This window comes from Homo sapiens, chromosome 15 (assembly GCF_000001405.40).
Source record: "Homo sapiens chromosome 15, GRCh38.p14 Primary Assembly".
In the NCBI taxonomy this organism is placed as follows: domain Eukaryota; kingdom Metazoa; phylum Chordata; class Mammalia; order Primates; family Hominidae; genus Homo; species Homo sapiens.
The window spans coordinates 35223868-35239705 of NC_000015.10; the positions used below are offsets into that span (position 1 = coordinate 35223868).

General features: G+C 40.8%; 1 protein-coding gene and 1 pseudogene across 4 annotated transcripts in view; one reads left to right on the plus strand and one right to left on the minus strand.

The window, feature by feature from the left end:
* DPH6 (diphthamine biosynthesis 6) overlaps positions 1-15838 on the minus strand; it is a 401189-nt gene that overhangs the window by 78891 nt on the left and 306460 nt on the right. The gene's annotated exons all lie outside the window — the stretch shown is intronic.
* ANP32AP1 (acidic nuclear phosphoprotein 32 family member A pseudogene 1) lies at positions 13283-14330 on the plus strand (annotated as a pseudogene). The gene has a single exon (NR_003144.2). The product of NR_003144.2 is annotated as an acidic nuclear phosphoprotein 32 family member A pseudogene 1 (transcript).

Sequence of the window (15838 nt, forward strand, 5' to 3'; positions counted from 1 at the left end):
AGTTTCTTACAGAATAACGTAACTGCCTTAAAAATCCCCCACGCTCCACCTATTCATCCCTCATTCCCTCTTCTGGAAATCCTGGCAACCACTTATCTCTTTACTGTCTCCATAGTTTTGTCTCTTTTCAGAATGTCATAGAACCATATAGCATGTAGCCTTTTCAGATAATCTTCTTTTAATTAGCAATATGCACTTAAGGCTCATCCAGTCTTTCTGTGGCATGATTTTAGTTTTTTTTTTTTTTTTTTTTTTTTGAGACCAAGTGTTGCTCTGTCACCCAGGCTAGAGTGCAGTGGTGTGATCTCAGCTCACTGCAACCTCCACCTCCTGGGTTAAAGCGATTCTCCTGCCTCAGTCTCCAGAGTAGCTAGGATCACAGGCACCCACCACCATGCCCAGCTAATTTTTGTATTTTTAGTAGAGACGGGGTTTCATCATGTTGGCCAGGCTAGTCTCAGACTCCTGACCTCAAGTGATCCGCCTGCCACGGCCTCCCAAAGTGCTGGGATTACAGGCATGAGCCACCACGCCTGGCCTGATTTTAGCTTTGAATAATATTCCGTTGGATGGATGTACTAAAGTTTGTTCATCCACTCATCTAATGAAGGACATCTTGGTTGCTTCAAATGTTTAGCAATTATGAATAAAGCTGCTACGAACATTCATGTATTGGTTTTTTAATAAATGTAAGTTTCAACTTATTTGGGTAAATACCAAGGAGCACAGTCGCTGGATCTTATGTTAAGAATATATTCAGTTTTGTATAAAACTGCTAAACTGTCTTCTAGAGTGGCTGTGCCATTTTGTATTTCCACCAGCAATGAATGAGAGTTCCTCTTGTTCCATATTCTCACCAGCATGTGGTATTGTCAGTGTTTTGAATTTTGCTGTTCTAATAGGTGTGTAGTGGATTTAATAGATTTTTAAGGACACTTTGTACTTTGAAGTAAATTTATATTTACAGAAAAGTCACACAGGTAATACAGAGAATTCCTGTGTACCACTCAACCAATCTCCCCAATGTTAACATCTTAAATTACCGTGGTATACTTGTCAAGACTAAGATACCAACGTTGATACACTGTCAGTCACTAAACTCCAGATTTTATTCATATTTCATTAGTATTTCTATTAATGTCTCCCTTTTGTTTCAGGATCCCATCCAGGATAACACATTGCATTCAGCCATATGTCTCCTTAGTTTCCTCTGGTCTATGACAGTTTCTCAGTCTTTCTTCATTTTCCATTACCTTGACAGTTTTAAGGTGCACTGGTAAGGCATTTTGTCTCTCAATCTGAGTTTATCTGATACTCAGGATTAGATCAGAATTACAGGATTTGGGTAAGAATACCACAGAGGTGAAATGTCCTTCTCATCACATCCTATAATGGGGTATGTGCAATAAAAATAACCTATTACTGGTGATGTTAATCTTGATCATTTGATTAAGGTGCTGTTTATCAGATTTGTTTACTATAAAGATGTTATTCCTCTCCTTTCATGCTCTATTATTTGTAAGGAAGTCACTAAGTCCAATCAACACTTGATGGTAGGGGATTATTTATATCAGTATAATAAAGTTATGTATATGGTTTTTATACTTTAAATTTTGTTGCTAAAATTGTTATAGCTTTGGCCATTGGAGACGTGTTCAGGATGGCTTTCTGTCTACTTGATGTCTCTAGCCTTTTATTTTTTTGAGTACTTCCTTACTTTCAGACACTATAACATACTTCAGGCTCATATTGTATCTTCTCTGCCCCAGATACAGAATCAGCCATTTCTTCAAAAAGTCCAGATTTTTTCTATTAAGCTATCGTATTTTGAAACAAAGATCCAGGTACTAGGTGTGCTTGCTGTCACTGGTGTGTTACCACAATGATTTACTTATCTTTGAACTAAGATTATAACATGAGGAGGTATAATTTGAAAATTTGACTTTTCTTAAATTTAAATACCTGAGAGGAGTTACTTCAGCAAAGTATCTTGAATTGTTCTACCTAATGGCTTAGAAAAATCATACGATTGTCAAAAATATTTTTTATTTGTGATTTTAACCTGTCTCATTTGTACCTATATTAAAAATGATTTATTGCTGGGCATGGTGGCATGTGCCTATAGTAGCAGCTACTTGGGAGGCTAAGGCAGGAAGACTGCTTGAGTCCAGGCTTCTGAAGCCATAGTGTGCGATGACAATGCCTGTGAATAGTCACTGCACTCCAGCCTGGGCAACACAGTAATATCTCATCACAAAAAATAAATAAATAAATAAAAATAAAAATATTATTATAGAAATAACAGAACCATCAGGAATAGCTGTAAATGTTCATGTATCTATTCGGTTTTCTGCAATCTGGAACAGGCATATTAGTGTAGTATGGTGATAGCTTTATTTTTTCAGCTAAAATACTTTGTCTCTGTATAGTTCTCCGAACTGCTTTTCCCCTTATACTAATAAATACCTTTACTCAGTCTTTACATACGTAAGGTAACAAAAATAAATTAATTCACTAGTTAGCTGTTATTTGGGAGTGGTAATAGAGGAAAGTTTCCACATACATTTAAAAAAAATAGGTAAAGAAAAGTGCAGCACAACTATAGTTGTATGGAAAGCCTTATTGGTACAAGTCAAAATGGCATATCATCATCAAAATGGTCTCATGTTTAGTGGAAAAAGCTATCCTTGGACTGAAGAAACCTGGGATACATTTACAATAGCTACAAATAAAATTAAATACCTAGGAATTAACTGAAGAGGTGAAAGACCTCTGCAATGAAAACTACAAAACACTGATGAAAAAACTTGAAAAGGTCACAAAAAATGGAAAGATATTCCATGTTCATGGATTGGAAGAATGAATACAGTTAAAATGTTCAGACTACCCAAAGCAATCTACAGGTTGAACGCAATACTGATCAAAATACCAGTTTTGTCTGGTTTTGGTATCAGGGTAATACTGGCTCATAGAATGAGTTTGGAAGTATTCCCTCCTCATCTATTTTTTGGAATACTTTAAGTAGGATTGGTATCAGCTCTTTAAATGTTTGGTAGAAATCAGCAGTGAAGCCATTAGGTTCTGTCTGGGCTTTTCTTTACTGGGAGACTTTTCATTATGGTTTTCATCTTGTCACTTGTTATAGGTCTGCTCAGGTTTTGGATTTCTTCCTGTTTCAATCTTGGTAGGTTGTATGTGCTGGAAATTTGTCCGTTTCTTTTAGATTTTCCAATTTATTGGCATGTAGTTGCTCATAGTAGCCACTAATGAACCTTTCAATTTCTGCAATATCAGTTATAACATCTTCTTTTTTTTTTTTTTTTTTTTTTTTTTTGAGATGGAGTCTTGCTCTGTCACCCAGGCTGGAGTGCAGAGGCGCGATCTCGGCTCACTGCAAGCTCCGCCTCCCGGGTTCATGCCATTCTCCTGCCTCAGTCTCCCCAGTAGCTGGGACTACAGGCGCCCGCCACCACACCCGGCTAATTTTTTGTATTTTTAGTAGAGATAGGGTTTCACCGTGTTAGCCAGGATGGTCTCAACCTCCTGACCTCATGATCCACCCATCTCGGCCTCCCAAAGTGCTGGGATTACAGGTGTGAGCCACCGTGCCTGGCCTAACATCTTCTTTTTCATCTCTGATTTTATTTGGCTCTTCTCATTTTTTTTCCTTAGTCTGGCTAAAGGTTTGTCAATTTTATTTTTCCAAAAACCAACTTTTTGTTTTATTGATCTTTTGTATTATTTTCTTCATTTCAAAATCATGTATTTCTGTTCTGATTTTTTTTTTCTTCTACTAAGTTTGGTTTTGGTTTGCTCTGGCTTTTCTAGTTTTTAAGATACATTGTTAGGATGTTTATTTGGTTTTTCATCTTTTTTTTGATGTAGGCATTTATAGATATAAACTTCTCTCTTAGTACCATTTTTGCTGTATCTCATACGTTTTGGTATGATGTATTTCCATTACCATTTGTTTCAAAAAATTTTTCAATTTTCTTCTTAATTTCCTTATTGACCCATTGATCATTTGTGAGCATATTGTTTAATTTTCATGTATTTGTATAGTTTCCAAAATTTCTCATTATTGACTTCTAGTTTTATTCCATTGTGGTCACAGAAGATGCTTGCTATTTTTTCAATTTTTTGAATGTTTTAAGACTTATTTTATGACCTAATATATGGTTTTTCCTTTAGAAAGATTCATGTTCTAAAGAAAATAATGTGTATTCTGCAGTCATTCAATGAAATGTTCTGTAAATATCTGTTAGATCCATTTGGTCTATAGTGTAGACCAACATTGTTTGCATAAACAAACAAACAAAAAGAAATAATAAAGACCCTGCACCTTAAAAGTTAAAAAGTGTCCCCCAACTTTTAAACTTTTTATTATTACTGTTTATATGTTATTGTACTGCCCATGTCTTGAAAAGTTGTTGTAGTCATTATTTTAGATTGGTTCATTGTTTAGTCTTTCTACGTAGGATACGAGTAGTTTATACACTACAGTTACAGTGTTATAATATTCTGTGTTTTTCTGTGTACTTACTATTACCAGTGAGGTGGTTTTTGTTTTGTTTTGTTTGGAGACAGTGTGTTTTCTGTCACCTAGGCTGGAGTGCAGTGGCACAATTTCAGCTCACCATAGCCTTGACCCTCTGGGCTCAAGGAATTGTCCCACCTCAGCCACCAAGTAGCTGGGACCACAGACACGTGCCACTATGCCTGGCTAATTTTTGTATTTTTGTAGAGACGGGGTTTCAGCATGTTGCCCAGGCTGAACCAGTGAGTTTTATACCATCAGATAATTTCTTATTGCTCATTAACGCCCTTTTCTTTCTGATTGAAATACTCCCTTTAGCATTTCTTGTAGAACAGGTCTTGTGTTGATGAAATTCCTCATCTTTTGTTTGCCTGGAAAAGTCTTTATCTTTCCTTCATGTTGGAAGGATAATTTTGTTGGATATATTATTCCAGGGTAAAAGTTTTTAGCACTTTAAATATGTCATGCCACTCTCTCCTGGCCTGTAAGGTTTCCCTGAAAGTCTGCTCCAGGCATAGTGGAGCTCCATAGTATGTTATTTGGTTCTTTTCTCTTGCTGCTTTTAGGGCCTTTTCTTTATCCTTGACCTTTGAAAGTTTGATTATTAAATGCCCTGAGGTAGTCTTCCTTGGGTTAAATCTTCTGGGTGTTCTATAACTTTCTTGTACTTGGATATTGATATCTTCCCCTATGTTTGAAAAATTCTCTGTTATTATTGCTTTGAATATTCTATCCCTATCGATTTCCCTACCTCCTCTTTAAGGCCAATTACTCTTAAATTTGCTGTTTTGAGGCTATTTTCTCGATCTTGTAGGTTTGCTTCATTGTTTTGTTTTCTTTTTTCTTTTCTATGTATTTTCAAATAGACTGTCTTCAAGTTCACTAATTCTTTCTTCTGCTTGATCAATTCTGCTATTAAAAGACTCGGATGTATTCTTCAGTATGCCAATTGCATTTTCAACTCTAGAATTTCTGCTTGATTCTTTTAAATTATTTCAATCTATTTGTTAAATTTAGCTGATAGAATTCCAAATTCCTTCTCTGTGATATCTTGAATTTCTTTGAGTTTCCTAAAAACAGCTATTTTGAATTTTCTGTCTGAAAGGTCACATATCTCTGTTTCTCTAGTGTTGATTCCTGGTGTTTTATTTAGCTCATTTGGTGAGGTCATGTTTTCCTGGATCATCTTGATATTTATAGATGTTTGTCTGTGTCTGGGCATTGAAGAATTAGGTATTTATTATAGTCTTCATAGTCCAGGCTTGTTTGTATCCATAGTTCTTTAGAAGGCTTTCCGGATATTTGAAAGGACTTGGGTGTTGTGATCTAACCTGTATCTGCTTTTTGGCACCCAAAGCTCGGTAAACTGTGGTTCTTGCAGACTTGTAGAGGTATACTGCCTTGACTGGACAAGATCCAGGAGAATTCTCTGGATTACCAGATAAAAACTCTTTGTTCTCTTCCCTTACTTTCTCTCAAACAAATGGAGTCTCTTCCTCTCTGTTTTGAGCCACCTGGAGCTGGGGATGGAGTGACACAGGAATCCTTGTGGTCACTACCCCTGGGACTGTACTGGGTCAGACCTGAAGCCAACACAGCACTGAGTCTCACCCAGGCCTGCTGCAACCACTCCCTGGCTACCACCTATGGTCACTCGAAGCCCTGGGGCTCTACAATCAGGACTGTGTCCTTTTCTTCAGGGTGGCGAGTTCCCCTAGGCCCCAGGCAGGTCCAGAGGCGTCATCTGGGAGCCAGGGACTACTGTCAAAAACCTTAGAAGCCCACCTGGTGTTCTACTATACTGCAGCTGAGCTGGCACTCAAATCACAAGACACAACCCTTTCCACTCTTCCTTCCCCTTTCCAAAGGCAGAGGAGCCTCACCTTGTGGCCATCACTACCTCAGACCCACAAGGTATAGTGCCAGACTACCACCAATGTTCCCTTAAGGCCCAAGGGCTCTTCAGTTAGCTTGTGGTGAATGCTGCCTGCCCTAGGACTCACCTCTCAGGGGAGTGGGCTCCCCTTCTGGCCCAGGGCAGGTCCAAAAATGCCATCCAAAAGCGAAGTCCTGGAGTCCTGGGAGCCCCAAGAGTCTGCTTGATGCTCTACCCAACTGTGGCTGAGCCGGGATCCAAGGTGCAAGACAAAGTCCCACTTTTATCAAAGAGAAGAAGTCTTGCCCTGTAGTCACAACTGGGAATGTGCTGAGTCTCCCATGAAACCAGCAAGTCTCAGAATCTCACCCAAGGCCCTCAACATAGTACCTGGGTATTGCTGCTGGTTATTCAGGGCTCAAGGGATCTTCAGTTAGCAGGTGATGAATCCTGCCAGGACTGAGCCCTTCCCTTTAAAGCAGCAGATTTCCTTATGTCCCAAGGTGTGTCTAGAAATGTCCTGAAGCTAGGGCCTGCAAAGGGAGTTCAAGACTCTGAATGGTGTCCTATCCTGCTGTGGCTGAGCTGGTATCCAAGATACAAAATAATGTCCTCCCCACTTTTCCATCTCCTCTCCTCAAGTTGAAAGAAGAGGTCTCTATTGGATCTGTGAGCTGTGCAGCCTGGGTTTAGGGGCGGGGTGATGCCCGTACTCCCTTAGCTGTCCCAGCTGGTATCTCAGTAGGTCACATGTCCCCTCCAGTCTACTGTCTGTGGGCTCATTTCGGCACTAGGACTCACCTAGGTGTTGCAGTCCTAGTGGCCTAGACTGCCTTTCAAGTTTATTTGGAGCCCCAGAGCACTGTAGACTGTGGTGATGAGGCTTGCAGGAATTGGAGTTCCCATCAGTGGGATCTGCAATTCCCCTCTAAATAGGGCTCGTTTAAATGCTCCCTCCTTGGGTGGGTGTCAACTGAGTTTGGTCTGGTTTTGCTTTTTGCTATAATAATGGCAGCACTGAGTTCAATGCCTTACAATTGCTGGCTCTCCCTCTCCTCAGGGCACAGAAATATTCTCTGCACCATGCTGCTGCTTCCGGGAAATGGAAGGGGGGTGGCATGGGCCATCCAAGACTATTTCTTCTACCTCTTCAGTGCCTCTTCCAGTGATATAGAGTTAAAACCAGGTACTGTGAGTTCTCATCTGATTTTTGGTTCATACAAAGGTGCTTTTTTTGTGTGTAGAAAGTTGTTAAATTGGTGTCCTTGTTGCGGGTGGACAATCAGTGGAGCTTTCTTTTCTGCCATCTTGCTCCACCCATCTCTGTAATCACAGCACTTGTATTAGTCTGTTTTGTGTTGCTATTAAGGAATACTTGAGGCAGGGTAATTTATGAATAAGAGATTTACTTGGCTTAGTTCTGCAAGCTGTACAGGAAGCATGGTGCCAGCATCGGCTCGGCTTCTGGTGAGGCCTCAGGAAGTTTTTACTTATGGTGGCAGGGAAGAGGAGCCAGCATGTCACATGGTGAGAGAGGGAGCAAGAGTGAGGGGAGGAGGTGCCAGGGTCTTTGAAACAATTCAATCTCATGATCTCGCAGGAGCAAACAGAGTAAGAACTCACTCATTACCACGGGTAGGCACCAAGCTATTCATGAGCGATCTGCCCCCATGACTCAAATACTCTCCACTAAGCTGTACTTCAAAGATTGGGGATCACTTTTCAACTTGAAATTTTGGGGAACAAACATCCAAACTGTATCAGTATTACTGGGAGTGAACTGGAAAGACAGGAGGTAGCAATCAGGGAGTGAGGTGCTCAAAATGAGATTATGGAGGGCTTGCTGTTATTCGTAATGACAAGGCTCAATGTATTGGCTCAGTATATGACCAAGAGATTTAGTGTCTTTGGATGAAAAAGAGTAGGTCAAGTGTTGGAAAGACAGCCTTGTCTACCTTGGAAGGATATTGTGATCACTAATAATTGACACAGAACCTGGAGTTAAAATATTCAAGGCAAGGCCAGGCGCGGTGGCTCATGCCTGTAATCTCAACACTTTGGGAGGCCAAGGCGGGTGGATCATGAGGTCAGGAGTTCAAGACCATCCTGGCCAACATGGTGAAACCCTGTCTCCACTAAAAATACAAAATATAAGCCGGGTGTGATGGTGGGTGCCTGTAATCTCAGCTACTCAGGAGGCTGAGGCAGGAAAATCATTTGAACCCGGGAGGCAGAGGTTGCAGTGAGCTGAGACCGCACCACTGCACTCTAGCCCAGGTGACAGAGCAATACTCCGTGTCAAAAACAAAAACAAAAACAAAAACAAACAAACAAACAACAACAATATATATATATCCAAGGCATGAAGGGAAACACTCCAAGATTCTATAGGTAACTAAAATAAGAACTTCTGCAACACTTTTTTCTATCACATTTGCAAAAATAAAAAAGATTGATAGGTTCTAGTATTTGCCAAGCATGGGAGGAGTATGGTATAACATTTTCACAGGCAGCCTAGCAATATTTATCTTAATTCTCATACTCAGCAATTCCATTATGGAAAACTTATCCTACAAAAATAGTTGCAAGAGAATGCAAAGACATTTGTACAATAATGTTCAACTGCAGAAATGCTTACAATAGTAAAATACTAAAAAGAATCTAGATATTCATCAACAGACAATTAGCAAAATAAAGTATACACCCATCAATGAAAAACCATGCAACCATGAAAAAGAATGAAGGGACTGGCCGTGGTGGCTCATGCCTGTAATCTCAGCATTTTGGGAGGCTGCGGTGGGGGGATCACTTGAGGTCAGCAGTTTGAGACCAGCCTGGCCAATGTGGTGAAACCCCGTCTCTACTAAAAATAAAAAAAATTAGAAAGGTGTGGTGGCGGGCACCTGTAATCCCAGCTACTCGGGAATCTGAGGCAGTAGAATCACTTGAACATGGGATATGGAGATTTCAGTGAGCCAAGATCGCCCCATTGCACTCCAGCCTAGGCAACAAGAGCAAAACTCTGTATCAAAAGTAAATAAATAAATGAAGGGGTACTACATGTACAGACATAAAACAATCTCCATTGTATTTTATTAAGTGTGGGACAAAAGACAAAATGGCACAAATTCTTTTTGTTGTTATAAAAATTAAAAATCTTGGATTTTATAAGCTTGTACAGGTTCTAGAATAAGAAAAAATTAAGGTACACTGTTACAAAATCAATAAAAGAAAATTAGTTGTGCAAAAGGAATCATTAAGACTTTCTCAGGGCTTTGTGGAATGCTCCAGTGGCCTAAAGAACCCTGGTTTCTTCCCTGGGAACAGCTGAAGAATAAAGACAGCAGGAATTTGAAGTTCACCTCAAGCCAAACACTATAACTTCCCTTATAGACAAGCACAAAGGTCTTGGACATGGGTCTGGCACTATGTCCTCTCTGACTGCACCCACCTCACCCCTCATCACTCTCCACACTCCAGCCACTAGCCTTTTTCCTCTATTCTCTAATGTACTGAGTTTATTCCTACTTCTTGCAGTCGTACTTAATATTTTCATTGTCTTTAATGCAGATCTTTGCATGGCTGGCTTCTTGTCAATCAAATCTCCACTCAAACATCACCTTTCAGATAAATGCTCTGCTTCCCTGACTTTAAATTCATTGTTTTATTTATTTTATAGTATTTATCACTCTCAAAAGATACTCTGTTTATTTGTTTGCCTGTTTGTTATCGTGTATGGCCCCCAACCCCCCACAGGAGGAACCTGCTATGTTTAGTTCACCATTGTACTTCCAATATTTAGAAAAGTACCTGGTATATATGGGGTACTTACTATTTGTTGAGTGAATGCATGAAGAAATGGCTAGGAAGTAGTCATACATCTAAGTAACTAAGGCTGATTCTTCTGGCTTGCCCCAGATTGAGCCTGTAGCAAATTCCTGAGACATCTAATTTAAAAAACTGCATTTAATGGCAAACTTCTGTTCCAACAAGGTAAGCATGATAGTAAGGCCTCTTTTGTTTGTGTGCAGGTGTGGGGTGATAAGGTGGTGGTGGTGGTATATCCCATGCTTCACATACCACAACCTAACTTCTGAGCATTCTTTGTTTCTCCTTCCACTCAAACCAACTCTGCTAGTTCCAACTGGGTTCACAATTTAGCTCAAACATTACCATGTCTACAGCTTGAAATAAATTAGATTCAGAATACAACAAATCAAAATTTACAATAAGAACAAGAGATCAGTGGCTATTTGTTAATTTCTTATAATTGTACTTTCTTTTTCCTATTTAATATTAACAACACCCAAACTATGACATTTGAATAATATTGACTCCACTCATAGACTTAAGCCAAATTTAGGAATGGGCATGTAACAGCTGGCTTAAGCCAATGAAAACATTGCATTTCTTGGCCTTGTCAACTAAAATAGGATTGGGCATGTGATCTAAACTGTATCAATGCAAGTAATTCAGTATTTTTGTTGGGAAAATTGGATATGGATTCTCTATTTTGTACTGGCTTGGTGCTTGGTGGTATGGGTATATGAAGCTTGGAACAGCTTATGGCAATGAGGAGAGAAACTGGAGCTACTGGAATGTCCTATCAGGATGGAGTAAATCCAGAGGAAGTAGAATTGAGAGATAAAATGTGTGAACACTGGATCAAGCTACATCTGAAAAGAGATCATTCCATTTCTGTATGCTGAAATCAAAATATTCTTAACTGATATCAAGGAAAACATAGGTCTTCAGTCAGGCTCTACTTCTATCTCTGGTATCTGGGAAACAACCTTTAGGAGATGTTGTCAGTGCTCTGTCCAGAAGCCCTTTTACCATTTCCGGGCATTCACTTCCCTTTGGTATAACAGCCACACTCCCTTTAGCTACTGGAGCCACTTGGGCCACAAGTGAAAGAGAGCCTGGGAGTTTTCCAATGACTGTCTAGTCCAGGGGTAGGAAAGTCCAGTTCCCTTTCCTTGGTTTGGACAACCTTGTGGTATAAAGTATATTCCAGAGTTCCCATGCAAGACAACTTTTGTCTGAGGCTGCACTGTGCCAGGCTTCCTTCTCTTTCCTGTCCTGACCTTCGTTTATAAACACTTGCATACAAGTCTTCATCTCCTAGCTTAAGACAGTCTCCTCAATGTGTGTGCACAGGTCGATTACTTGGCAAAAAAATCCAATAAAAATATTAGAACTCAGAGAATAAATGCTCTATTCACCTCTGAATTTCACTAGTGGATATTGTACTTTCAAAAAATGCAATTATGAAAGTATTCAATGTAATCCAGAGAGAATAGAGAGAGCCTGATTGCACTGCAGTTTCAGGCTCTTCCTACCAAAAATTCAGTTTTGAGTGTGTGTTTCCCAAAATATACACTGTTTTAAAATTTCAAATTCATAAAAACTTATAGTCTTCCAGATTTTAGCTTTTGAAAATGGAGGGTTCTTTCTCAAATACTTGAATTCCTATATATCAAGGTCTCTGCTTACAATATTATTCTTTCTCACAGTGTGCTATATATACTGTGGTAGATTTGCTATCTGAGATGCAAGAAAGTGTACTGCAGTTGGAGAATATTCAACTTAGAAACTACTCATTGTGCTTTCAAAGTTTAATTTGTGTTATGAGTATTTTCTTAGTTAAAAAAGAAACAAAAGAGAACATGGACTAATAATATATTGAAATAATGCCACCACATGTTTAGTTTAATGTGTGATAAGATGGAATTGAAGAACAAAGAGCTTTCTAATCAAGTATTTAGATAGAACCATGCATGTTTCTGGCATTAAATTTTATGTTCTTACTCTCATATGCATAAATATGAGGTACCAGATATCTGCCATATTAAGTCAGCATTATATACTCATGGAAAAATAATTATTTCATTTTGTAAAGTTGATATCTAGGTCCATATAAGTAGTCAAAAAGTAAGAAGCATCAAACTGAATTTTGGTGAAGTTTTTCAGATAGGAATAATTTAGTATAGTTAAAAAGTAACAAGTATAGGCCATGAAACCCCTTAAAGGAATTTGCCTTATTGTAATCACATGTTAGAAAACCTCAAGTGTTGGCTGGGCGCGGTGGCTCACGCCTGTAATCCCAGCACTTTGGGAGGCTGAGGCAGGCAGATCACGAGGTCAGGAGATCGAGACCATCCGGGCTAACACGGTGAAACCCCGTCTCTACTAAAAATACAAAAAAATTAGCCGGGCGTGTTGGCGGGCGCCTGTAGTCCCAGCTACTCGGGAGGCTGAGGCAGGAGAATGGTGTGAACCTGGGAGGTGGAGCTTGCAGTGAGCCCAGATCGCGCCACTGCACTCCAGCCTGGGCGACAGAGACAGAGACTCCATCTCAAAAAAAAAAAAAAGAAAAAAAGAAAACTTCAAGTGTTATTGGTAATCAGGTATCTACTATTTATATGTATCCTAATGGTAATCTGACCATGATTTTGATATCCTTTTTGTGGACCTGTAAACCAGTATGATCTGATTAGTTTAGATCATCACCAGTAAGAATAATTGCTTTAATTCAATCTGTAATCTGGAAGTTATTTAGTTACTCAATATTCTTAAGACTGGGGCTCTTACATACTGCTTTCTATGACACTTTTAATGTATTCTGTTAATAAACACTATTTTTGTTCCTAGTCGATAGATATTTTTGTTCCTAGTTGATAAAGTCGATAGATAAGTGGCTCATCTCCATTACATAATCTGGTGAGTTGTTGAAGGAAGTTTTATACTGTACATCATGACTGTTTTTCTTGGGTTGGAATGCATGCACATAGGCATTGTTTTGCTTAGGTATTGGGTTTTCCTCTACAATTTTACTTGATGGTAATCTTTACAAAAACCTCTCCCAGTTTCCTTATTTAAAAATTCAGCATTAAAAGAATGACCATTGAGGTTAGCGTGTGCCGGGGGTGCTGGGGGCTCGAGAACTGAGCGGAGCTGGTTGAGCCTTGAAAGTGCTAAAACGCGCGGCCGTGTTATTGATTGAATTCCAGCGGCGCGGGAGCCTCTGCAGAGAACGCGAGAGATGAAGATGGGCAGACGGATTCATTTAGAGCTGCGGAACAGGACGCCCTCTGATGTGAAAGAACTTGTCCTGGACAACAGTCGGTCGAATGAAGGCAAACTCGAAGGCCTCACAGATGAATCTGAATAACTGGAATTCTTCAGTGCAACCAACGTAGGCCTCACCTCAACTGCAAACTTACCGAAGTTAAACAAACTTAAGAAGCTTGAACTAAGCGATAACAGAGTCTCGGGGGGCGTGGAAGCATTGGCAGAAAAGTGTCCGAACCTCACGCATCTAAATTTATGTGGCAACAAAATTAAAGACCTCAGCACAACAGAGCCACTGAAAAACTTAGAAAACCTCAAGAGCTTAGACCTTTTCAATTGCGAGGTAACCAACCTGAACGACTACCGAGAAAATGTGTTCAAGCTCCTCCTGCAACTCACATATCTTGACGGCTATGACCGGGACGACAAGGAGGCCCCTAACTTGGATGCTGAGGGCTACGTGGAGGGCCTGGAGGAGGAGGAGGAGGATGAGGATGAGGAGGAGTATGACGAAGATGCTCAGGTAGTGGAGGACGAGGAGGAGGAGGAAGGTGAAGAGGAGGACGTGAGTGGAGAGGAGGAGGAGGATGAAAAAGGTTATAACGATGGAGAGGTTGATGATGAGGAAGATGAAGAAGAGCTCCGTGAAGAAGAAAGGGGTCAGAAGCGAAAAGGAGAACCTGAAGATGAGGGAGAAGATGATGACTAAGTGGAATAACCTATTTTGAAAAATTCCTATTGTGATTTGACTGTTTTTACCCATATCCCCTCCCCCGCTCCAATCCTGCCCCCTGAAACTTATTTTTTTTTCTGATTGTAACGTTGCTGTGGGAACGAGAGGGGAAAGGTGTACTGGGGGTTGCAGGGAGAGGGAGGGCGGGTGGGGGTGGAATAAAATACTATTTTTACTGCCAAAAAAAAAAAAATGACCATTAAGCAGTAAATGAAGTCTTGCTGTCAGGAACAGTATGGCAAGAACTATTTCCTGCTTACAAAATCACTTTATCGGGAGTAGTTGTCTTCCTCACTACTGGGCAATGTTTTATTAAGGCATTTCAATATGCATCCTGCTTTAATTAGCTATGCAAATAGTACACCACCTTCAGGAGCAAATGCTACTGAGAACCCAGCCACACTTGGGGAGCCAATTCCCACATCTACAATTTAGTAATGAGATTATTTTGGGCAAAGCTTTCATGTTTCTGTGGTTCTCTTTCTCTTCTTGGAAATTTGGGAAAAGACTATGTTGCCTATGCAATTCCGTCACTTAATACTGTCAGGCCTCTTAGCCCAAGCCAAGCCATCGCATCCCCTGTGATTTGCACATACACACCCAGATGGCCTGAAGTAACTGAAGAATCACAAAAGAAGTGAAAAGGCCCTGCCCCGCCTTAACTGATGACATTCCACCATTGTGATGTGTTCCTGCCCCACTTTAACTGAGTGATTAACCCTGTGAATTTCCTTCTCCTGGCTCAGAAGCTCCCCTACTGAGCACCTTGTGACCCCTGCCCCTGCCCACCAGAGAACAACCCTCTTTGACTGTAATTTTCCATTACCTTCCCAAATCCTATAAAACGGCCCCACCCTTATCTCCCTTTGCTGACTCTCTTTTCGGACTCAGCCCGCCTGCACCCAGGTGAAATAAACAGCCATGTTGCTCACACAAAGCCTGTTTGGTGGTCTCTTCACACGGACGTGCATGAAATTTGGTGCTGTGACATGGATCGGGGGACCTCCCTTGGGAGATCAATCCCCCGTCCTCCTGCTCTTTGCTCCGTGAGAAAGATCCACCTACGACCTCAGGTCCTCAGACCTACCAGCCCAAGAAACATCTCACCAATTTCAAATCCGGTAAGCGGCCTCTTTTTACTCTCTTCTCCAACTTCCCTCACTATCCCTCAACCTCTTTCTCCTTTCAATCTTGGCGCTACACTTCAATCACTCCCTTCTCTTAATTTCAATTCCTTTCATTTTCTGGTAGAGACAAAAGAGACACGTTTTATCTGTGGACCCCAAACTCCGGCGCCGGTCACGGACTGGGAAGGCAGCCTTCCCTTGGTGTTTAATCATTGCAGGGATGCCTCTCTGATTATACACCCACGTTTCAAGGGTGTCAGACCATGCAGGGACGCCTGCCTTGGTCCTTCACCCTTAGCGGCAAGTCCCGCTTTTCTGGGGAAGGAGCAAGTACCCCAACCCCTTCTCTCCTTGTCTCTACCCCTTCTCTGCCTTTCCTGGGGCGGGGGCAAGTACCCCTCAACCCCTTCTCCTTCAACCTTAGCGGCAAGTCCCGCTTTCCTGGGGCAGGGGCAAGTACCCCTCAACCCCTTCTCCTTCACCCTTAGTGG